At 42.5% G+C, this 25165-nt stretch overlaps 1 annotated feature.

The window, feature by feature from the left end:
* Positions 11769 to 12322: an enhancer, noted in NCBI's record as "NANOG hESC enhancer chr1:212885887-212886440 (GRCh37/hg19 assembly coordinates)". NCBI's record gives its function as "activates a minimal SCP1, AML or CMV promoter by ChIP-STARR-seq in naive H9 embryonic stem cells {active_cell/tissue: H9 hESC(naive)}" and the evidence as "EXISTENCE:reporter gene assay evidence [ECO:0000049][PMID:30033119]".

A 25165-nucleotide genomic window follows, 5' to 3' on the forward strand; every position in this document is an offset into this window, starting at 1 on the left:
AGTCCCTGTCCACCTGCCTGCCAGTCAAAAGATGCGAAGCCAAGACAATTACCCGTGGTCCTAGCGAAGGAAACACTAGCGGCCACAGGCTGTGGTCTGCATGCTGTGAGCACCGGGAAAGATAACCGCGATTCGGGATGGGCGGGTGGGAACCAGACCAGAAGGGCAGAAGTGCCTACCAAGTGTGGTCGCTTGGGTCTTCAGGTTTGTGGGCAGCAGTGGGCATGGGGACAGTCATTTCCGATTCCTTTTTAAGTCTTAAATGAGTGCACGTGCCCCCCGCCAGGATTTAAGACCCACTCTTGCAAAAGCTTTGAGAGAGCTTGAGTGAACTTGGCTGCCTGGAGGCCAGCGGGAAAGCGAGCGGAGATTCTTGTCTGTGTGATCAGAAGCTTCGGCCAACTGAGAGGCGGGGAGGAAGACGGAGGGTGGACGCAGCCCTTTAGAGTTGCAGCGCCACACTCCACAGCAGCAAGGCTGCGCAGCAGAGCCAGCGCTACGCTGGGTTATCTGCCCGGATTAATCTTTTCCTCTCCGTTATTTCATCACTCAGCTTAACTGGTGGTTGCCCCAGGACTATTTTGCATCCCACAAGGTACCCACACAAGGTGCCTAGCATAGCACGCTACATACACTCAACAGGTGCTCAGTATATGTATTGCACTAGGTCAGCTGAAAGCTCTCATTCCTGAAGCACTAAAAGGGCTCTAACGAGCTAGGAAAACATCTGGGTCAAGGGGTTATCATTTTCAGAAGTGATTTCATTCCCCAGTGTTTTTTATGCACAGAAAAGGCAAGGTAGAAACACCTCGGGAACATTCCCGTGCACTCCTACACTTTATTCTGGTCATGCCCACTTTTCTCACTGAACCACATCACATTTTAAGTCCTTTGGGGCTGCTGCTTCCCTGTCTCTCCCCAGGGAGCCTGAAACCATGTCCCAGCACACACGAACTCTTTATATAGGCATAGTCTACTGTCTTGTGTTACGCAAGGGTTTCTTCAAATACATTTAGTCTTGGTTAACTAGGTAGCATTTAGGGCAGAGATCAATTTGATGTAAAGATCATACATCAAAATGAATGGATTAAATAGCTAGATACAGAAATGAAAATCAGAGAGCTAAAGCAGAATTAAATTCTTATTTAAGTCATGGAAGCATAGGCAACATAGTGAGACCCCCAACTCTACCAAAAATTAAAAGAAATCAACTAGCTGAGTGTGGTGGTGCACACCTGTAGTCCCAGCTACTCAGGACGCTGAGGCAGGAGGATCACTTAAGCTCAGGAGTTTGAGGCTGCAATGAGCTATGATTGCACCACTGCACTCCAGCCTCCAGGGCAACAGAGCAAGACCTTATCTCAAATAAATAAAATAAAGTTGTGGAGATAAGATAAGGAAAGGATCTTATAAGAATACATGTAATAGGAGAAATTGACTTGATAAGATCTGAACTATATAAAAGGGCTAAATTGTTTTAGATGACAGTATAACCAGGAATGTAAAACAAACAGATTGGATAAATACAGTGCATATGAGAAAGGGTTAATATACAGCCCACGAAAAAGAAGAAGAAGAATATTGAGACAACCCGCAAAGGTAAATTGCAGAAGGGATATGAAATGGCATTTCCCAGCAGAAGAAATAATCAAGGAAAATAGGTATAGGAAAATATATATTAAAATAAGAACCCTTTTTAAGTTAGCAAAATAAAAAGTAATATCAAATGCTGGGGAGAGTATGGTGAAATTGGTACTCACATGTTTCACTGGCTTCATTGTAAATTGGCACAAACCTGCTGGAAAGCAGTTTTACTGTCACTTTCAAGAACCATAAAAGAGTCATCACTTTTGACTCAATTTTCCTACTGCTAGAAAATCATCCTAGAAACATCATTGAAAATACTAGGGAGAAAAATACTATATGCACTAGAAGTTCATAATAACATTTTAAGAGTGAAAAATGTAAGCAACATAAATGTCCGATTATAGTTGAATGGCTAAACAGAATATGTTATTGCCACAGGATAGAATGTTATGCATCTTTAAAATTACAAGCATGCAGGCTGGATGCAGTGGCTCTCACCTGTAGTCCCAGCTACTCTAGAGGCTGAAGTGGGAGGATCATTTGAGCCTAGGAGTGCAAGGCTGCAGTGAGCCATGATTGCACCACTGAGTTCCAGTCTGAGCAACAGAGTGATACCCTGTCTCTTAAAAAAAAAATTACAAACATGCAGACAAATTTGCCACTTGGAATGTTTATTTGATCTGAAGTAGAGTGAGAAAAATCAGGATACAAAAAGTACATATATGACATGAACAGTATGTACGAATGTATGCATATGAGAAAAGATTGGAAGAAAACGTACCCTGATGGTAGCCTTTCTCTTATAATGGTGGCATTATAATTTCTTTTACCTGTACTTGTTGAAAAATGGTTTTTATTATGTTAGCATCTTAAAACATTTCATATGTATAAGTGATATAAATATATTTGTATGGCACTAAGCTCACTGGCCTCACCAGAATGCCAGCACTTCTCTGATCAAGTGGTTTGCTCTAATAACAGACTTTTCCTTGCTTTTCTGTAATATCTTCTCGTTTGTTTTATTCTCTTTAGTCAGAAGGAGAAAGAAAAATGAAAGTAAAGAAAAGATAAACAAGAAGAAGCATTTCAAATGTCTCCTTTTCTTCAGCCTTTTATTTTCTTTTTATTTGTATTATTTTCCTTGAACTGGGAAGAGAAATTATATGATTTGGCAATTTCCGATTAATACCACAATTACCCTGGATTACATCTTTGGGGAGGGGGTAGGAGGTGCAAGAGGTTTATAGCTCAGTGACCAAATCCTCTGGTGATTCACTTCACAAAAGACAACCCTTTATAAAAACGCATCACTCCAGTTCTAGCAAACACTGTCACTGGTTCACCTTTGCTTCTCTCTTTTAGGAAAATTGGCCTTTCAGTCATTGTAGTCTCATTGCCCTTCCTTAGAAGGTGGTCCTGCGGGCTCCTGGTGGGGCTGGAGAATAGAAAGCTGAAGGCAGAATCCGCTGTATTTGCCAGAAGTCAGCCACTGTGTGTGGGGCCCTGTTCTAGGCACTGGGATACAGCAGTGGACAAAAAACTGTCCATACCTCCCGGAGCTCTCGTTTCAGCGGAGGAAGGCAGACAATAAACAAAATTTAGTAGTGTGTCAGAGGGTGGTACATTTTATGGCAGAATACAAAGCAGGGAATAGGGACTAGGTGTGGGGAGAGGTGCACTTTTGAATAGGGAGGTCCAGCCAGGCTTCTGGAAGGAGGTGAGAGAGGGAGGGAGCCCTTTGGATACCTGCAGGATGTGGTCCAGGCTGCACCAACAGCAAATGCAGAAGCCCTATGAAAGCCTGCCTGGCACTCCAGAAACTGCAGGAGGCTCATGTGGCTGGAGTGGAGTGAGGAAGGGGTGGAGGCCAAGAGATGAGGTCAAAAAGGCGGTAAGAGCCAGGTCTTGCGGAGCCTCCTGGGCTACTTGCTTCTACTGCGCGTGAGATGGAAAACATTGGAAGCCTTTGGGCTGAGGTATGACGTGATCTGACTTGAGTTTTTTATGAGATCGCTTTGGTTGCTGTGTTAAGAACAGACTGAGAGGGGCAAGGAAGAAACAGGAAATGACGGCAGCAGTCCAGGATAGCTGGGATAGGGGCTTGGGAGATGTTGGGAGTGGGAAGGCCGAGGCAAATTTGCCAGGAAGTTAAAGGGCTTAAGCTTCAGGGCACCTCACTTACACAGGCCCCTGTCACGACAGCTCAGAAGGGGCCCTAGCAATGTGTCCACATGGTGATATATTTTAATAAAATGTGCAAAAAGGGGATATTTAAACCATAAACTGTGAAGGCCACTGTTTCTTTTCACCCCAGCTTCCCCCAGTCTCTTCATATCTAGTGGTATTGCAATGGCTATGGACATTTGAGGGACCTAGCAAAGGAAGGTTTAACCAGATATATTAATATAGTAGGGTATGTGGGTTTCAGAAACTCCTGTATACAGTCACATATTTGCTACACATTTTGTATGGCCTCCAGAATATTCTGACTGCCCACTGTGCTAACTCACTTGACAACATCTATTGTACTGAGACATGCATATATCCTACACTGCCCTGCACCAGACATATATGTATCAAGGTGGTGGAGGGGAGCCCCAGAAGCAGTCTGTGAAAATCCTTCAAATCAACATACGTGTTAAGTTGTAAACAGAGGATTCATTTCTTATTTGCATCTAGTCAAAACCAAATTATCTCCTGTCGGGAATGAAAGCAACAATACAGCTTATACAGTTACAAATTGCATTTTGAAAAACCCAGAGGGGTTTTTTCCTTTGTTATCTGGAGTTGCATATTTGACTTTTTAACTGCTATTGGAAATGTGTTGTGAAACATTTGTTCATACATGAAGAGCACCATCCTTTTTCATCTCTAAATGTATGTGTGTGTTAAAGAACTGAAAGAAAAAATATATATAATTAATGAAATGTAAGAAAGACCTAAGGAAAAGCAATTGAAATCAATAGAAATGTTTCTGATATTAATAAACAATTTGTAACAACATATTTCAGATTATACTAGAAGCAATAGTTTATTCAGAGAAAAAGATAAATGTCAAATGGAAGCAATGAGCAGGCTTTTGGGTTGTTTGATGATTCAATAATGAGGAAGGATGGATCATACAAACACAATAGGAAAATATTTACAATTCTTACTGCTCTCAGCTGAAATATTGACATTGATGAGGATAATACCAAGCTCATAATATGCCAACACGATGAGGACATTTATAACAAATTGGTTAATGAGTGTCATCAATTCTAAGAATATTTAAAATGAATCACAGGAAAAGAAAAATATGAAATACGCTGAAATGTTACAACTCATAAATAAAAAAAATAGAGGTTTTTTCCAAATCTGACAATTCTTTTTGTTTGTTGTTGATGTTGTTGTTGTTGTTTTCGAGACGGAGTTTTCTCTTGTTGCCCAGGCTGGAGTGCAATGTCATGATCTCGGCTCACCACAACCTCCGCCTCCCGGGTTCAAATGATTCTCCTGCCTCAGCCTCCTGAGTAGCTGGGATTACAGGCATGTACCACCACACCCAGCTAATTTTGTGTTTTTAGTAGAGACGGGGATTCTTCATGTTGGTCAGGCTGGTCTCAAACTCCTGACCTCAGGTGATCCACCTGCCTTGGCCTCCCAAAGTGCTGGGATTACAGGCGTGAGCCACCATGCCCGGCCCTACAATTCTTAAAAATTATATGACACTACCAATAAAGAATGTGTTGTGAAGCTGAAACAAAATTATCTGAATATTTTTTACATTAATTTTTCACCCATTACATGGAAAGACTGAATTATCTTTCTAGTCTGTAGAAAATGTTATTATGGAATCATTGTCTTATGAATAGGAGAACAAAAGCATGCTGCCAAAAACTATAGTATAAGAAAAAAGTATTAAAGAGGTATGTGGAGAAGTTAATTGAAACAGTATTCTTCCTGATTTTCTAATATTTTTGGTGTTTGTCAGCTTTTGAAATTTGTAATCTGCTGTACTTTTTTTTTTTTTTTGAGAGTCAGCTTTTGAAATTTGTAATCTGCTGTACTTTTTTTTTTTTTTTGAGACAGAGTCTCATTCTGTTGCCCAGGCTGAAGCGCAGTGGCGCAATCTCAGTTCACTGCAACCTCCACCTTCTTGGGTTTAAGCAATTCTCCTGCCTCAGCCTCCTGAGTACCTGGGATTATAGGCGCCCACCACCACGCCCAGCTAATTTTGTGTGTGTGTGTGTTTTTTAAGTAGAGACGGAGTTTTACCATGTTGGCCAGGCTGTTCTTGAACTCCTGACCTCAAGTGATCCACCCACCTTGGCCTGCCAAAGTGCTGGGATTACAGGCATGAGCCACCTTGCCTGGCCCTGTACTTTTTTTTTAGAATGAGAAAATTACTTTCCTAACTCAGAGCCCTGTTCGACAGTCTGTGACATTGTGGTAGAGATGGGCAGCATCTAATAGCTAGCTAACTTCACAACCTTCCATATTTTCTTTTTTCTTTTCTTTTTCTTTCTTTTCTTTTTTTTTTTTTTTTTTTCTTTGACAGGGTCTTGCTCTGTCATCCAGGCTGGAGTGCAGTGGCATGCTCAGGGCTCACTGCAGCCTCAACTTTCTAGGCTCAAGCAATCCTCCCACCTCAGCCTCCCGAGCAGCTGGGACTACAGATGCACATCACCACACGTGGCTAATTTTTGTATTTTCTGTAGGGACGGGGTCTCGCCATGTTGCTCAGCCTGGTCTCAAACTCCTGGGTTCACGTGATCTTTCCACCTCAGCCTTCCAAAGTGCTGGGATTACATATATGAGCCGTAACGGTCCATATTTTTATGATACTTGGTCATCCGTAATAATACAATCTAGAATCAATTGAAAAGCATAGAGAAGAAACAGATTCTCCATAATCCAAGCATCCACACAGAGATAACTGCTAATATTTTGGCATTTATTGCGTTCCCACTTTTTTCTATGCAAGTATATACTACATATATACTTATATGCATGAAATCATACTCTAGGCCAGGCACAGTGGCTCATGCCTATAATCCCAGCACTGTAGGAGGCCGAGGTGGGCCTCAAGACTCTTGAGGTCAGGAGTTCGAGACCAGGCTGACCAACATGGAGAAACCCCGTCTCTACTAAAAATACAAAATTTGCTGGTCATGGTGGCGCATGCCTGTAATCCCAGCTACTCGGGAGGCTGAAGCAGGAGAATCGCTTGAACTGGGGAGGTGGAGGTTGCGGTGAGACAAGATCATGCCATTGCACTCCAGCCTGGTAACAAGAGCCAAACTCCGTCTCAAAAAAAAAAAGAAAAGAAATCATACTCTGAGCTGCTTTTTCACTTAGTGTTACAGAGCATCTTTTCATGACAATAAATATACACCTGCCATTATTTTAAATATGCACAGTTTCCATAGCAGATATGCCATAGATGGTCTAAGTAAGTCCTTACTATTCTGTTGTTTTTAATTTTTACATATGATGAAACAAGATTGTTAATATCATTGTACTCACGTATGTCTGCACTTGTCTGATTATGGCCTTAGGATTTTTTTTTTTTTTCTGAGATGGAGTCTCGCTGTGTTGCCCAGGCTGGAGTGCAGTGGCGCAATCTCTGCTCACTGCAACCTCTGCCTCCCAGGTTCAAGTGATTCTTCTGCCTCAGCCTCCCAAGTAGCTGGGACTACAGGCACCCACCACCGTGCCCGGCTAACTTTTGTATTTTTAGTAGAGACAGGGTTTCACCATATTGGCCAGGGTGATCTTGAACTCCTGACCTTGTGATCCGCCAGCCTTGGCCTGCCAAAGTGCTGGGATTTATTTATTTTTTTGAAACGGAGTCTCACCCAGGCTGGTGTGCAGTGGCATGATTTTGGCTCACTGCAACCTCCACTGTCATGGGTTCAAGCAATTCTCCTGCCTCAGCCTCCCGAGTAGCTGAGATCACAGGCACGCGCTACCATACCCAGGTAATTTTTGTATATTTAGTAGAGACGGGGTTTGGACATGTTGGCCAGGCTGGTCTCGAACTCCTGACCTCAAGCAATGCACCCTCCTCAGCCTCCCAAAGTGTTAGGATTACAGGCATGAGCCACTGCACCCAGACAGGTGTTAGGTTTAATCACTAGGAATAGAATTGCTGAGAATAAGGAATATTTGTATTTGCAAGGTATTGGACACATATTACCAAATGGCCTTGCAATTAAGAGTCCTGCCAGCACTGTGTGAAAATCGTACTACCTAATTAGGTAACATTTTTAGGTGGGCTACATTTCCAGATCAGAAGAACTCAACTTGTTTCTCAGATCACTTGTTGAATCCTGATGAAGGAGAAGAAATCAGGAACAGATAAATATACGATGGGGACCTCCCCACCCTCCGCCCCCATCCAACTTCCACAGGCAGTTCTACATTGACTCCCTGAAGCTGTGTCCCTGGAGCCCAGGATTCCCCAAGGGGCAGGCAACCTTAGTTCTGCAGCCTAATCCAAAATGCATCACCACATTTGCTCCAACCAAACTTCTCATCTGGCAGGCTTTTCTCTCCCACTTTCACAGAGGAAAGACTAGGAAGAAAGCAAGTCAAACCCGGGTGTTCATCTCACCTCTGCTAAAGAATGGGGGAGTGATTTGGGGGAGAACACTTAATCACATTATGTCAGGTTATTATCCTCTTACTTCCATGCATTGCATTGGTTATGGAAAAGGATAGAGGAAAAAAGAAAAATCTGAAGGAGAAAAAAGTGGGTGGCGGGGAAGAAGAGAGTAAAGAAGGTATTCATGGTGAGATGCCAGCAAGTGACTCTACCTGGGCCATAGAAAGTTCTGGAATAGAGACTGGGAAGTTTAAGTGACTGGTTCTCTGTCCTGGTGTTCTCCCTCTCTCCGTCTCTCTCCTTCCCTCTTATGCTCCCTCCCTCTCCCTCCCTTCCTCTTCCTCTCCTTCCCTGTCTCCAAGGAGACCAACCTCTCTCCTGGGCCTCTCCTGGGATATCCCACAGACATCTCAGACTCGGCATACTCAGCATTAAGTTTATTATCAAACCAAATGTGCTCCTCTTCATGCACCATCTCAGGGACCTGTGCCAAAGGCTGCCCAGCCACTGGGGTGGAGGGCATGGCCACATTTTCTGTAGACCCCACACTCAGTCTCTATAGCTATAGCACCTACTCTGGGGCTGAGCCAGGTTTTGTGGGGCCTAAAGCTGATACTACTAGGAGCCGCCTCTTTAAGAAAAATCATTCAAATCTAGATATTCAAGTTAAATGTTAAGTAGAATGAGAAAATAAATCTTAACAAAATATTGCAAATATAAAATTCCAGAAGATTGCATACTTATTTTCATTAATGGCTAACACACTCTACTGTGTCTGTTTTTGGCTGCAAGCTTTTTGACCACCTCTTCATATAACAATGCTTTTGAAAGTTATTTTTATAGAGATAATAGAAAGATAACTCACTCTTGTAATTGATTAAAATTATATTTTTGATATTTGAGATTACATAAATCATGTGATTGATTCTACCCAGAGGTATAGTTGCTGATCACTCACCAAAATTCAGGAATTCCAATCAGTTCTATTTTCTATGATTCCCATCAAAGAGTATATACAGGCCAGTCACAGTGGCTCACGCCTATAATCTCAACACTTTGGGAGGCTGAGGCAGGAGGATTGCTTGAGCCCAGGAGTTCAGAGACCAGCCTGGGCCACAAAGTGAGACCACATGTCTCCAAAAAAAAAAAAAAACAAACAGAATCCTACATGTTTACTTATCTAATGATTGGAAGCCTCTGCCACCAGCTAGCTTCCACTGCATATATTTCAAACCTCCACTGCCCACTTACTTCTGTTTTTGGCACTGTAGGACATGTTCATATCCAATCACCTCTGGCCCTGCACCTCGGCATCTCCATGCCAGGTAAGTTGGCTTGGTGTGTGTTAGGAGTATGTATCCTGGAAGCTTCGCTTTCACCAGTATCCTAGCAATAGCAACTCTACTCCCAAGTGAAACCCAAACTCACTGCAAACTCATCCAACTCCCCTTCTCTCTCTCAAAAATGCCCATGGCCACCCATGCCACCTGCCCTGAAAGAATATATGTCAAAGGGAAGGCTGGAGTGGAAAGAGACAGCAATCTTAATTCATTGAAGTCGAAATATCTTTCTTTTGCAAATTTTGCAAAATAAAATTTGTCTAGGTGAACACAGTACTGTGTCACCTCCCAGGGCCTGGGAAGTGGATGGGCTGAAGCTTAAACGTTAGTAGCTTCACAGTGAGTCCATCTTCACTTCTGTCTTCGCAACATCTCTATTCCTCTTCCTTTCATCTCCTTCCTCCCTTCCTTCCTCCTTTCATCTGGGCCACAGCAACAGCCCTGTGACAGGCCTTCCTTCTGCTCTCAAGGGCCTCCGGCCCATCTGACCTGCAAATTTGTCATGTGACTCCAGTATTTAAAATCCTGCCAGGATGTAGCCCAGCGGCTCTGCTTGGCCTCCAAGGCTTTCTCTAGAGGCTGCTCTGACTTTCCCTTCCCCGACTCGCCTCACCCTCATGCTCATGAAATAGAAGGACTGCTTAGGAACCTCTAGACCATGCCAGGATGTCTCTACTCTCTATGGCTTTTGTCTTTCTCGGTCCCTCTTCTTTTCTCCACGCTTATCCCTTCCCGACCCCTAACTCAGTCGGCTTCATGAACACGTACTCCTCTTTCAAGAAGTAGCTTCAACATCTCTCCCTCCAGAAAGCCTTTCCTTGACAATCAGGTAGAATTAACCACATATTTCTTTTTTCCACTACTCTACTTTGTTATAAAGTTTTTTAAATTTTGTTTTTATTTAATAAGAAATATATGTGAAGGAAGCAAGTACAGAAAAACATTTTTTAAAAGAAATATATGAATGCATTCCCAGAATAAAATGGAATTTAACCATTACAGATAAATTGAAAGTGATCAGCACTTTTTTTTTCTTTCCTGAGATGGAGCCTCCTTCTGTTGCCCAGGCTGGAGTGTAGTGGTATAATCTCAGCTCACTGCAACCTCTGCCTCCCGGGTTCAAGCGATTCTTGTGCCTCAGACTCCTGAGTAGCTGGGACTACAGGCGCCCGCCACCACACCTGGCTAAATTTTTGTATTTTTAGTAGATACAGGGTTTCACCATGTTGGCCAGGCTGGTCTCGAACTCCTAGTCTCAAGGGATCCGCCTGCCTCGGCCTCCCAAAGTGCTGGGATTACAGGGGTGAGCCATCGTGCCCAGCTATGATCATCACTTTCAATTCTGGTCATTAATTTTGTGTGTATCCTTCCAGATTTTATAATATGTATATACATACTCCTCATTTACAAATCTGTCTCCTCCTCCTAGATTACAAACCATATGAGGACAAAGGCAATGTCTTCATTATGCTGGCCCCTCCCAACTCAGTGCTAGCTGTAGTAATAACCAGCACTAGAAATGATGCATTGAAGCGCAGACAATTGAAGAAACTTGCCCACGTTACCCAGAGAAGTGACTGGGCTGGGATTCAAACTCAGGCAGAGCATGCACTTAATACAATTTTAATTGGTCAATAATGAATAAATAGTCATGTTGCAGCAAGTGACATTTGGATTAGATAGAAGAGTTACCCCAAAAAGAGGTCCAGCACATACTATCAAAGTACACATGAGAATGTTTAATGACTTCTACGTGCATCATGGTGGCATACTTCATTCAAAAATTAAGAAAGTATTATTACCATTATTTTTGAGACAGAGTCTTGCTCTGTTGCCCAGGCTAGAGTGCAGTGGTGGGATCTTTGCTCACTGCAGCCTCCGCCTCCCAGGTTCAATCGATTCTTGTACCTCAGCCTCGTGAGTAGCTGGGATTACAGGGGTGCGCCACCACTCCCGGCTAATTTTTGTATTTTTGGTAGAGACGGGGTTTTGCCATGTTGGCCAGGCTGGTCTCTAACTCCTGGCCTCAAGAGATCCACCCACCTTGGCCTCCCAAAGTGCTGAGATTACAGGCGTGAGCCACCACAACCAACAATAACTTATTTTTTCTTATTTTCCCCAATTTTGTTTCTAAGGGAGAGGCGCCTAGCAAAAATGTGTTTTTGCTAAAATCATGTAATGCTGGTTTCTACTGAAGCCCTAAATGATGCCACACCATAGGAATTCTAGTAGTGTAGTATCTGAAGAGATTGCTCATTATCCTGTTTTAAACCATGAATAAGATATGTGCCATTTGTGACGTACTTAAAAAAATAATTTCACTCATTTCCTGTAGGACCTACTACCACCTACAACTGATTTGCATTTTCTTGGATCCATTTCCAACTTCTTGTGCCTGGCACAGAGCTGTGCTCACAATCCTGGTCACACATCTGCTGAATGAATAAACCACAAATGACTTCTACTGACAGCAGTGGATTTCCTTAGAAAGACACTAACAACTTTGGTAGTTCCCCTAACACTCAAAGTGGATGCCTGGGGCTGTTTCAAGAAATCTCTTTTCTTTCTTAACAATAGCCCATGCTCTTTGATAGTTTAGGGCAGAAAGAGCCTTAGGCCAGTGGTTCACGCTTGTAATCCCAGCACTTTTAGGGGCTCAGGCAGGAGGATTGCTTGAGCCCAGTGGTTTGTGATCAGCCGTGCAACATGGTGAGACCCCATCTCTATGAAAAATGGCACACACCTGTAATCTCAGCTACTTGGGAGGCTGAGGCAGGAGATTGCTTGAGCCCAGGAGTTGGAGGAAATGATCATGCCACTGCACTCCAGCCTGGGCAACAGAGACTGTCTCAGGAAAAAAAAAAAAATTAGCATCTCAGTCTTCTTTTCAAAAAAGCAGAGCCAGTTTGTTATTTCCCTCCAATAGACCTCACGTAGGCAAAATTGGATTAACCTTTATCCTTGGTTCCTGCTACTCTGACATTGTTGTTTCATGAATATACTTCTTGTGTTTATTTATTACTCATTTGTTTGTTAATAATATAACAGACATCTCTAAACTCATCACCTAATCCAAGAACCAGAACACTGACAATCCCTTTTATTTACCTCTGTTCTCTTCACTATTCCAGCCCCTTTCTCCCCCATCTGTCTATCCTAAATTTTGTGTTTATAGTTTTGTCACATTTTAAAAATTAAACTTTTTTATTTTGACATATTTGTAGACTCTCTTGCAGTGAAATCCCATGTGCCCTATACTCAGTTTCCCCCAATGGTAAAATCTTGCAAACCTATGTTCTGTATGATATGACAATCAGAAAGGATATTTACATTGATACAGCCAAGACACAAAACGTTTCCATCACCACGAGGATCTCTCCTGTTGCCCTTTCTTAGTCGCAACCACTTCTTGCTCATGCTTTGCCCACCCGCTCCTTTACCCCTGGTGACCACAAATCTGTTCTCCATTTCTGTAATTTGGTCATTTCAAGAACATTATATAAATGTAATCCTACAGCACATAACCTTTTGAGATTGGCTTTTCTTCACAATTCTCTGAGGATTTCATGGAAGTTGTTGCCTGTATCAATAGTTTGCTCCTTTTTTGTTGCTGAGTAGTATTCCATATACGGCAGGGATGTACCACAGTGTGTTTAACCTTGTCAAGGACATCTGGGCTGTTTTCTAGTTCTTGGCTATTACAAATAAAACTGCTATAAACATTTGTGTATCTGGGCATGGTGGCTCATGCTTGTAAGTGCCAGCACTCTGGGAGGCCAAGGCAGGAAGATTTCATCAGCTCAGGAGCTCTAGACCAGCCTGGGCAATATAGTGAGACCTTGTCTCTAATAAATAAATAGATAAATTAGCCACGCACGGTGGTGCATGTCTGTAGACCCAGCTACTCAGGAGGCTGAGGCAGAAGGATTGCTTGATCCTAGGAGGTGGAGGTTTCAGTGAGCCATGATCATACCACTGCACTTCAGCCTGGGCAACACGGTGAGACTCTGTCTCAAAAAAAAATTGGGTACAGAGTTTTGTGTAAACATAAGTCTTCATTTCTTTGGGATAAATGCCCAAGAGTGCAATTGCTGGGACACTTGGTAGTTGAACATTTAGTTTTCTAAGAAACTGCCAATGTGTTTTCCAGAGTGGAGGTATATTTTTAATTCCCACCAGCAATATGTGAGTGATACAATTTCCCTGCATGCTCTCCAGCATTTGATATTGTCATGATTTTTTATTTTATTCATTCTGATAGGTGTGTAATGATATCTTATTATGGTTCTAAATTGCATTTTCCTATTGACTATTAATGTTGAACATCTTTTCAGGTGTTTATTTGTCATCCATATATGCCGTTTCATGAAATGTTTATGTCTTTTGTGCATTTTATAATTATGTTGCTTGCTGTTTTGCAGTTCAGAGTTCTGAGAGGCTTTTTTGTTTTTTTTCAAAGTCTCATTCTTTTGCCCAGGCTGGATTGCAGTGGTGCAATCACGGCTTGCTGTAGCCTCAATCTCCTGGGCTTATGTGATCCTCCCACCTCGGCTTCCCAAGTAGCAAGGACTATAGCTGTGTGCCACCACTCCTGGCTAATTTTGTTTTGTTTTGTTTTGTTTTTTACTTTTTGTAGAGATACAGTCTCTTTATGTTGCCCAGTCTTGAACTCCTGGGTTCAAATAATCCTCCTGCCTTGGCCTCCCAAAGTGTTGGGATTACAGGCATGAGCCACCATGCCTAGCCAAGAGTTATTTATATATTCAAGATACTAATCTTTTGTCAGATACACGGTTTGCAAATATTTTCTCCCACTTTATAGCTTGTCTTTTCATCCTTTTAACAACATCTTTCAAAAGGCAAAATCTTTAATTTTAACGAATCCAATTTATCCATTTTTAAAAATGAATGATGCTTTTGGTGTCAAGTTTAAGAACTCTTTGCTTAGCCCTAGATCCTGAAGATTTTCTCCTAGTTTTTCTAAATGCTTCAGTTATATATTTGATATTTAAGTGTGTGACCCATGTTAATTTTTCCATAAAGCGTGAGACTTAGGTGGATGTTCCTTACTTTTTTTTTTTTTTTTTTTTTGAGACAGGGTCTCACTCTGTTGCCCAGGCTGGAGTGCAGTGGTCCGATTTAGGCTCAAACTGCAACCTCCGCCTCTCGGGTTCAAGCAATTCTCATGCCTCAGCCTCCCACATAGCTGGGATTACAGGCATGCACCACCACACATGGCTAATTTTTGTTTTTTTAGTAGAGACGGGGTTTTGCCATTTTGGCCAGGCTGGTCTTGAACTCCTAGCCTCAAGGGATCTACTGCCTCAGTCTCCCAAGGTGCTGGGATTACAGGCATGAGCCACCAAACCTGGCTGGTTGTTTGTTTCTTTTACCCATGGATGCTCAATTGTTCCAGTACCATTTGTTGAAAAGACTTATCTTTCCTCCTTGAATTGCTTTTGCACCATTGACAGAACTCAGCTGGCCATATTTGTGTGAGTCTACTTCTGGGTTCTCTATTCTGTGTGGTCTTGATCTGTGTGTCTACCTCTCTGCCAATATCCCACAGTCTTCACTATAGCTATATAATAAGTCTTGAAATTGGATAGACTGAGTCTCTCTACTTTCTTCTTTTTCAAGATTGGTTTAGCTATTCTAATTCCTTTGCCTTTCCATATACATTTTAAAATAATCTTGTGTATATGTATTTTGGGATTTTACTTACTTACTGGGATTTTGATAGAAATTACATTAAATATGTGTATAAATCTGGAGCGAATTGGCCAGATTGAGTCTTCCATCCATGGACATGTTGTGTCTCTTCTTTATTTATATGTTTGACATCCTTCATCAATGTTTTGTAGCTTTCAGCAAATAAGTCCTATACATGTTTTGTTAGGTTTACACTCAACCACTTTTTGTTGAGTGATTGCAAATGGTATTGTATTTTTATTTATGTGTCCACATGTTCATTGCTAGTATAGAGAGATACAACTGATTTTTGTAGGTGTATCTTATATCCTGTGACCTTGCTAAACTCATTTGTAAGTTCTAGGAGTTTTTGGTGCATTCCTTGGGATTTTCTGTGTAGACAATCATGTCATCTGCAAATAGGACAGTTTCATTTCTTCCTTTCTGATCTATACAGTTTTTCTTTTATTTTCTTTCCTTATTTCACCAACTAGAATTTCCAGCACTATGTTGAATAAACTTCTGAGAGTGGACATTTTTGCCTCGTTCCAGATCTTAGAGGAGAAAGCATTCCATCTGTTATCATTAAGTATAATAATACTAGCTGTGGGGTTTTTGTAGCTGTCCTTTATCAAATTGAGGAAGTTCCCCTCCATTCCTACTTTTTCTGGGAATTTTTATCATGAATCATTGTTGATTTTGTTTTCAAATGCTTTTTCTGTATCAATTGATATGATCATGTGATTTTTCCTCTCTAGACTATTAATATGGTAGATTACATTGATTTTCAAAAATTTAACCAGACTTCCATTCCTGGAATACACTCTGCTTAGTTATAAATTTTTTTTCTTTTTTGTTTTGAGACAGAGTTTCGCTCTTGTTGCCCAGGCTGGAGTACAATGGCGCGATCTCGGCTCACTGCAACCTCCACCTCCCAAGTTCAAGCGATTCTCCTGCCTCAGCCTCCCGAGTAGCTGGGATTACAGGCATGCGCCACCAAGCCTGGCTAATTTTGTATTTTTTTTTTTTTTTTGGTAGAGATGGGATTTCTCTGTGTTGGTCAGGCTGGTCTCGAGCTCCCAACCTCAGGTGATCCACCCACCTCGGCCTCCCAAAGTGCTGGGATTACAGGTGTGAGCCACTGCACCTAGCGAATTTATATATATACACTGCTGAATTCTTTATATTGCTCAAATCCCTTAGCTGTAATAGGACTATTAAAATTATTTCATATTGGGTGAGTTGTGATGGTTTGTGTTTTTCAAGGAATTGGTCCATTTGATCTAAGGTGTCAAATCTATGTGTGTTTCATTGTCCTTAGTATTCTTTTATTATCCTTTTGTTATCTGCAAGTTCTCTAGTGATAGTCCCTGTTTCATTTTTGATATTAGTGTCCTTTGTCTTCTCTCTTTTTTTCCTTGTTGGTCTTGCTAGAGGTGTATCAATTTCATTGATCTTTTCAAAGAATCAGCTTTTTGTTTCAGTGGTTTGCTTTATTATTATTATTTTTTTTACCAGCGTCATTGATTTCTGCTCTTAATATTATTTTCTTATTTCTGCTTGCTTTGGGCTTATTTTGCTCTTCTTTTTTAGGTTCTTGTGGTGAAAGTTTTGAAACATTTCGTGCTATAAATTTCCCTCTTGGCACTGCTGTAGCACAAATTTTGATATATTGTGCTTTCATTTCCATTTAGTTCAAGGCATTTTATAAAAAGTTTCTTTTGAAACTTCCTATTTGACCCATGGATTATTTAGAAGAGTGTTATCTTGTTGTCCTCTTACCTTTCTGTTATTGATTTCTAGTTTCATTCCACTGTGGTCAGAGAATACACTCAGTATGATTCTAATTCTTTTAATTTATTGAGGTTTGTCTTATGGCCCAGGATATAGTCTATTTTGGTATACATTTCATGGGTACTTGTAATGAATGTATATTCTTCTGTCATTGGGTGGAGTGTTCTATAAATATAGATTTGATCCTGTTTGTTGATGATGTTGCTGAGATCTATAGACTTGCTGATTTTTTTGTCTAGTGGTTCTATCAACCATTGTCAGATTTCTTAATTTTTGCCCATCTAGGAGGTGTAAAATGTTATCTTATTGTGATCTTAATTTGCATTTCCTTGAGTTCTAGTGAGATTGGTTATCAAATTATGTTTTTATCCCTAATTGTACTTTTAAAAATATATCATTGATACTTTACCAATGATATAGCTTATGAGGTTGGTGCAAAAGTAATTGCGGTTTTTTGCCATAAAAGTAATGGCAAAAGCCACAATTACTTTATACCAACCTAATAATTATTCAAATTTATTGCTTTATTTTTCCTTGTTTTTTCCTGTTTTTGTTTTGGTTTTGGTCTTGTTTTTACATATGTAGTGACCTCTGCCAATGGATCTGAATAGAGATGGGTAATTCTCCTTGTGTATCTCTACCTGGGACAGTGCCACAAACAATTAGACACACACTTAGGTCAAAACCCTTCAATTATTCCCCATATTGTGACAAATATAATCCAAAACTTTAGGCTGACTTTTAAGTCGTATATGGCACACTTTAAATTTACCTAATCCAGCTGTGTCAATGCCTCCCTATTTCCCAGCTTAGCTTGTTCCTCCCTCCACGATTTTGGCCATGTCATTTTCTTTGAATACAGTGCTGTCAACCAAAATCCTATTTACGCTTTAAATGTGGCTCAAATGCTCCCTCTATGGAGACTTTCTTGATCATTCCAACTGGAAGTGATTGCCTTCTTCCTCTTAACAACAGATTATAGAACGTCTGTCATATAATGACTGCATGGTTTGGTATCATAATGCACACAGCTGGGAAACCACTGGGTGGTCTCAGTGATTCAGAGCAGAAGTGTCTTATTGTTTCTTTACATCTATTTTATTGACTTGTAGGTGAAGTGCCTTTCCTTTATTAATAGTCTTTTTTTTTAGATGGAATCTCACTCTGTTGCCCAGGCTGGAGTGCAGTGGTGCGATCTCAGCTCACTGCAACCTCCGCCTTCCAGGTTCAAGTGATTCTCCTGCCTCAGCCTCCTGAGTAGCTGGGATTACAGGTGTGTACCACCACGCCCTGCTAGTTTTTGTATTTTTAGTAGAGACGGGGTTTCGCCATGTTGACCAGGCTGGTGTCGAACTTCTGATAACCTCAGGTGATCTGCCTGCCTCAGCCTCCCAAAGTGCTGGGATTACAGGCGTGAGCCACTGTGCCTGGCCTCTTTTATTAATATTCTAACTCACGTAGTGAACATTGTTAAAATTCCATCTCAAATGACTATATCCACCAAAAGTGGTGTATTGGATAAACTGCCAACTTGTTCAGCAGAAATATTACTAATATGATAGATTGGAGGAATAAATTATTCAGAATGCTGATAAACTCATGCTATGAAGTGATTTCCACATACATGTCAGTTAGATGTGGGAGATGAACTACCAGTAGCAAAACAACCGACAAAATGTATTTTACTTGTGTATTTATTTATTTTAGATCCAAGGGATATGTTTGCAGGTTTGGTACATGAGTAAATTATATGATGCTGAGGTTTGGGTTTCTAAGAATCCCATCCCCCAAGTAGTGAACATAGTACATGATAGGTAGTTTTTCAACCCATTTCCCCTCCCTCCCCTACTCCTTTTGGAATCCCCAGGGTTTATTGTTCCCATATTTGTGTCCAAGTGTACCCAATGTTCATCTCCCACTTATAAGTAAGAACATGATAGTTCATTTGATTTTCGGTTTCTGCATTAAATTGCTTAGGATAAAGGCCTCCAGTTGCATCCATGTTGCTGTAAAGGATGTGATTTCATTCTTTTTCATGGCTGTATAGTAATCCGTGGTGTATATGTACCACATTTTCTTTATCCAATCCACCATTAATGGGCACTTAGGTTGATTCCATGTCTTTGCTGTTGTGAATAGTGCTGTGATAAACATATGAATACAGGTATCTTTCTGATAGAATGATTTATTTTCCTTTGGGTATATTCCCAGTAATGGATTGCTGAGTTGAATGGTAATTCTACTTTTAGTTTTTTGAGAAATCTCCAAACTGCTTTCCACGGGAACTGTACTAATTTGCATTCCCAGCAACAGTGTATAAGCATTCCCTTTTCCATGAAACCTCACTAACATCTGGTTTTTTTTTTTTTACTTTAATAACAGCCATCCTTACTGGTATGAGATGGTATCTCATTATGGTTTTGATTTGCATCTCTCTGATGATTAGTGGTGTTGAGCATTTCAAAAAATCTATTTTAAAAGTCTGACTTTTGGCCAGGTGCAGTGGCTCATGCCTGTAATCCCAGCACTTTGGGGAGGCCGAGGCAGGCGGATCACCTGAGGTCGGGAGTTTGAGACCAGCCCGACCAACATGGACAAACCCCGTTTCTACTAAAAATACAAAATTAGCCGGGCGTGGTGGCGCATGCCTGTAATCCCAGCTACTTGGGAGGCTGAGGCAGGAGAATCACTTGAACCCGGGAGGCAGAGGTTGCGGTGAGCCGAGATCACACTATTGTACTCCAGCCTGGGCAACGAGAGCAAAACTCCGTCTCAAAAAAAAAAGTCTGACTTTTATTGTGAGTCAAAGTGGGCAACACTCCACCGAATTTTGAACTTTTGTATCTTCAAGCTAGTTAGCCGATGGCAGATTTTGGAGTAATTATTGTTAGCTGATAGTTTCAGTGGTCTGCATAATATAAAGGGATTTACAAAGACTAAGTCTAAATACACCTTTATATCATTATTATTTTATTATTATTATTATTATTTACAAAGTTCCCAAGAGCTAGAATGTTATGTCATTTTTTAAAGTAAGTGATTTCAGGCAAGTTTCATACAACATATCTATATATAAAAGTAGCCATGAATTTTTATATTTTGCATGGATACAATTTTATATACCAGGCGATTCCAGACTTTATTAAAAATTGAATCATAAATTTTTAAGTCACAGAAGACTAGAAGAGATTCCTAAAAATGAAGATTCTCATTATAAAAAGGGACACCACAGAAAATTTAAAAATTCAGAAAACAGCAATAATTATTGATCATTAATAATAAATTATATATTTAATTAATACATAGTGAAAATAATTCAGTTATTGTTACCACCAATAATCCCTTTACCCAGAGGCAACTGCTGATAACATAGATCTTAGAGAGATTGTCCTAGATCTTTTTTTGGTTTGCGTCTAGGCAAGATTATACCTGAGGTTTGGTTTTTGTTTTTCTTTTAACGAAGGACTCTGCACTGCTTTCAGCGTTCCAGGACTTAACAACACGGATGATCGGCAGTTCTTTGCGTTTATTTTTGGTCCTACATGTTGTTCTTCAAACCCATTTCCTCTTGTTCTTTCCCCAACAGAGGCAGAGAAGTGTTGGCCTCGAGCTCTGCCTATGATTTTCCTGCAGAACTAAACTACCACACCTTAACCTGCTCTCCTCAGGGGTGAATCAATTCAGTGTCTTTCCTCTTGGCAGGTGAGTCTCATTCTCCAATTGTTTTGCCACTTTGGGGCATCCCCTGAGCCTTCTGAGAGGTTGAGCGCAAGGCATATTTCTTCTAACAACTAGCTCACTTTATTGACATTCACCTACCTGAAAGCAGGAAGCTGGATCAGATAACTTTGGGGACTTCCTTTCAGTTTTGACTTTATGTGCGCCCTCTCGGGACCTGGCTTAGGATTCTGCTCATGGTAAATATTTGGTAAGCCTTACTGGTTGTATGACTCATGAGTGTGGTTCCTAATAAGAGTCACAGAAAACAGTAAAAGCAGTTCCAGGAATTTGCTGCTTACTCAGTAGTGGTGGATGCAGCAGGGAAAATAATGCAGGCTTCCTGCCCATTTCCCAGCCACTTCTCCGTATATGCACCTGGTCACAAAGGGATGGTCACAAAGACCATAAGACAGACCCCAGAGACCCCAGGCAACGTGTTCCCTGGCAGGGAGTGTGTCCTGCGGATGGTGTTCCTCAAGGAGCACAGGCTTCTTAGGGGCGGCTTTCACTCAACTTGGAAGGGAGGTCTAGGTAGAGGGGTTCACTCAAGTGGACTCCTTCTCATTTCCTCGTTTCTTTCTAAGGAAGCCACTTTTAAGTGTGATGGCATTGAGACTGTGTATTGCTGCACCCCAGTGCCAGTGAACCTATGAAATACAGCCGTGCTCACTCTGTGCCTCACATGGAATCTCTCTAGAAGTAACTGGGAGGCCAGAGCAGGAGGGAGCCCAAGCAGTGGAGTGATGGGGCCAAAATGATCATCTTTTGAGAGCTCAGACTCATCAACATTCAACCTTTGCAGAGGCACTCAAGGCCTTTACTTTTGCAGAAAGTGCCTGAACTAGTCTGTCAAACACCTTCCAAAACTGGCCCTTTATTCTTTGGAAAGTTATTCACTACTCCCGTTATTCATCTTGCTCTTGTGTCTCTGACGTTTTATTTAAGCTCATACCACTTGCTCAGAACACCCCCAATCAACCTCTATCTTCTCTCATCATTCTCAGGGCTCCTGAAATTACCTCTTCCAGGAAGTCTTCCCTGACTAACAAGAACAATGAAACTTCCTGGCTTCCTTCTACACTAACCGCTCTCCTCAAATAACTTCCTTTTTGTTTTCACAGAACATAAATGCTTCAATTTATTTATTAGTTTAATGTGTGTTTTTAGACTCTCAGGAAGGATGTAATTATAGATGATGACTTCTGAGAAGTAGGATGGTGTCCAGCTTGATGTGCAAATGGCCCCAACATATCAGCAGCAAACAAAGGCTGTTGCCACAGGTGTGACTTTGCAAGTAATTGCTCAGACTTTGCCTTCAGAACCTGTTCTATATTTCCAGTGGTGCTGCTTATATGTGCAGCATTAGCCAGATTCTTCAGTAGTATTCATTCAACAAATGCTTATTGAGAGCCTTTTATGAGCCAAGTACTGTTAGGTACTGGAGATGTAGTGCCCATTGAATTTTTCTTTGAGAAATTTTATTTTTACCAAGCTCCCAAGAGGTAGAACTTTATGTCATTTTTAAAGTAAGTGATTTCAGGCAAGTTTCATAAAACAAATCTATATATAAAAGTCACCCAGGCTGCAGTGATCTCAGCTCACTGCAACCTCCACTCCCCACCACTCCCCCACCCCGCCTGCCAGCTCAAGTGATCCTCCCACCTCAGCCTCCCAAGTGGCTGGGACCACAGGCGTACACCACCACACCCAGCCTTTTTTTTTTTTTTTTTTTTTTTTTTAGTAGAAATTGGGTCTCACCATGTTGCCCAGGCTGGTCTCAAACACCTGAGCTCAAGTTATCCACCCACCTCAGCCTCCCAAAGTGCTAGGATTACAGGCATGAGACACTGTGCCTGGCTGAAATTTTTAAGATTATTGTGGTGGACCACCAATTTGGTGGCCCACACTGAACTATTTCTCTAAGTATTTATACCCTTGTGTAGTCTCCTATCCCTCTTGATTTTGAGCTGGGCTGTGATCTGCTTTAATTAACAGGATATAGTAGAAGTGGTGTTGTGCCAATTCCAGGTGTAAGGCCACGAAGAGCTGGCAGTTTCTGCTTTTGTGGTTTTGAGATCCCTTAGCTACCATGAGCAAAGACCTGCTACTCTGCTGGAGAAACTGTGTGGAGAGTCCACTTGGAAAGGGAGTGGCTCTGAGACTACAGGGAAAGGGAGAGAAGCTCAGACATTCCAGTGTCCCAAAGAACCCAGTCTCCAGCCAACCCAACTGAATACAGACACATGAGTGAACACCAGCAAGACCAGCAGACCATCCAGCTAAGCCCAGCTCAGATTATAGAATTGTGAGCAAATAACCACTTGGTTGTTTTAAGCCACTAGTTTGGGGATTTCTTTTTTTTTAATACGAGCAACTGGTAACTTAAAAATCTCATCACTTCTGAAGACAGGAGAGTAATATACGATCTTCCAAAGCAGTTTCAAGATAATTTGATAGATTACATGTTTAGACATTTAAAATCAAGCAGAGGCCAGGTGTGGTGGCTCACACCTGTAATCCTAGGCATTTTGGCAGGCCAAGGCAAGAGGATCATTTGAGCCCAGGAGTTCGAGATCAGCCTGTACAACACAGTGAGACCTCGCCTGTACAAACAAACAAACAAACAATCAACAAATAAAATAAAATAAAACAAGCAGAGTCATGGTAGCAATAAACCTTTTAAAAAAACCTAGCCCCCTCCCCCTCTCCCTCTCCCTCTCCACGGTCTCCCTCTCCCTCTCTCTCCACGGTCTCCCTCTTCCTCTCCCTCTCTCTCCACGGTCTCCCTCTGATGCCGAGCCGAGGCTGGACTGTACTGCCGCCATCTCGGCTCACTGCAACCTCCCTGCCTGATTCTCCTGCCTCAGCCTGCCGAGTGCCTGGGATTGCAGGCGCGCGCCGCCACGCCTGACTGGTTTTCGTATTTTTTGGTGGAGACGGGGTTTCACTGTGTTGGCCGGGCTGGTCTCCAGCTCCTGACCGTGAGTGATCTGCCCACCTCGGCCTCCCGAGGTGCCGGGATTGCAGACGGAGTCTCGCTCACTCAGTGCTCAATCTTGCCCAGGCTGGAGTGCGGTGGCATGATCTCAGCTCGCTACAACCTCCACCTCCCAGCCACCTGCCTTGGCCTCCCAAAGTGCCGAGATTGCAGCCTCTGCCCGGCCGCCACCCCATCTGGGAAGTGAGGAGCGTCTCTGCCTGGCCGACCATCGTCTGGGAGGTGAGGAGCCCCTCTGCCCGGCCGCCCAGTCTGGGAAGTGAGGAGCGCCTCTTCCCGGCCGCCATCCCGTCTAGGAAGGGGGGAGCATCTCTGCCCGGCCGCCCATCGTCTGAGATGTGGGGAGCGCCTCTGCCCCGCCGCCCCGTCTGGGATGTGAGGAGCGCCTCTGCCCGGCCGCGACCGCATCTGGGAACTGAGGAGTGTCTCTGCCCGACTGCCACCCCGTCTGGGAGGTGAGGAGCGTCTGAGAAGTGAGGAGCCCCTCCGCCTGGCAGCCGCCCCGTCTGGGAAGTGAGGAGCGTCTCCGCCTGGCAGCCGCCCCGTCCGGGAGGGAGGTGGGGGGCAGCCCCCGCCCGGCCAGCTGCCCCGTCCGGGAGGGAGGTGGGGGGCAGCCCCTGCCCGGCAGCCGCCCCGTCCGGGAGGTGGGGGGCGCCTCCGCCCAGCCGCTGCCCTGTCTGGGAGGTGGGGGGCGCCTCTGCCCGGCCGCCCCCTCTGGGAAGTGAGGAGCCTCTCTGCCCAGCCGCCACCCCGTCTGGGAGGTGTACCCAACAGCTCATTGAGAACAGGCCATGATGACGATGGCGATTTTGTCGAATAGAAAAGGGGGAAATGTGGGGAAAAGAAAGAAAAATCAGATTGTTACTGTGTCTGTGTAGAAAGAAGTAGACACAGGAGACTCCATTTTGTTCTGTACTAAGAAAAATTCTTCTGCCTTGGGATGCTGTTAATCTATAACCTTACCCCCAACCCCGTGCTCTCTCAAACATGTGCTGTGTCAACTCAGGGTTAAATGGATTAAGGGCGGTGCAAGATGTGCTTTGTTAAACAGATGCTTGAAGGCAGCATGCTCCTTAAGAGTCATCACCACTCCCTAATCTCAAGTACCCAGGGACACAAACACTGCGGTCGGCCACAGGGTCCTCTGCCTAGGAAAACCAGAGACCCTTGTTCACATGTTTATCTGCTGACCTTCCCTCCACTATTGTCCTATGACCCTGCCAAATCCGCCTCCCCAAGAAACACCCAAGAATGATCAATAAATACTAAAAAAAAAAAAAAAAGAAAAATCACTTCAGTTCTCAATGTTTACCTACTCAAATAAAAAGCATACTAATCTTTTTTAAAAAAAAAAAAGAAAAAAAAAACCTAGCCCATATCAAGTTCTTAGATAAGAATTACCAAGTCCATCTTCCCTAAAATAAACTATGAAATTAATGCAATCCC

Source organism: Homo sapiens, chromosome 1, assembly GCF_000001405.40.
Source record: "Homo sapiens chromosome 1, GRCh38.p14 Primary Assembly".
Classification (NCBI taxonomy): domain Eukaryota; kingdom Metazoa; phylum Chordata; class Mammalia; order Primates; family Hominidae; genus Homo; species Homo sapiens.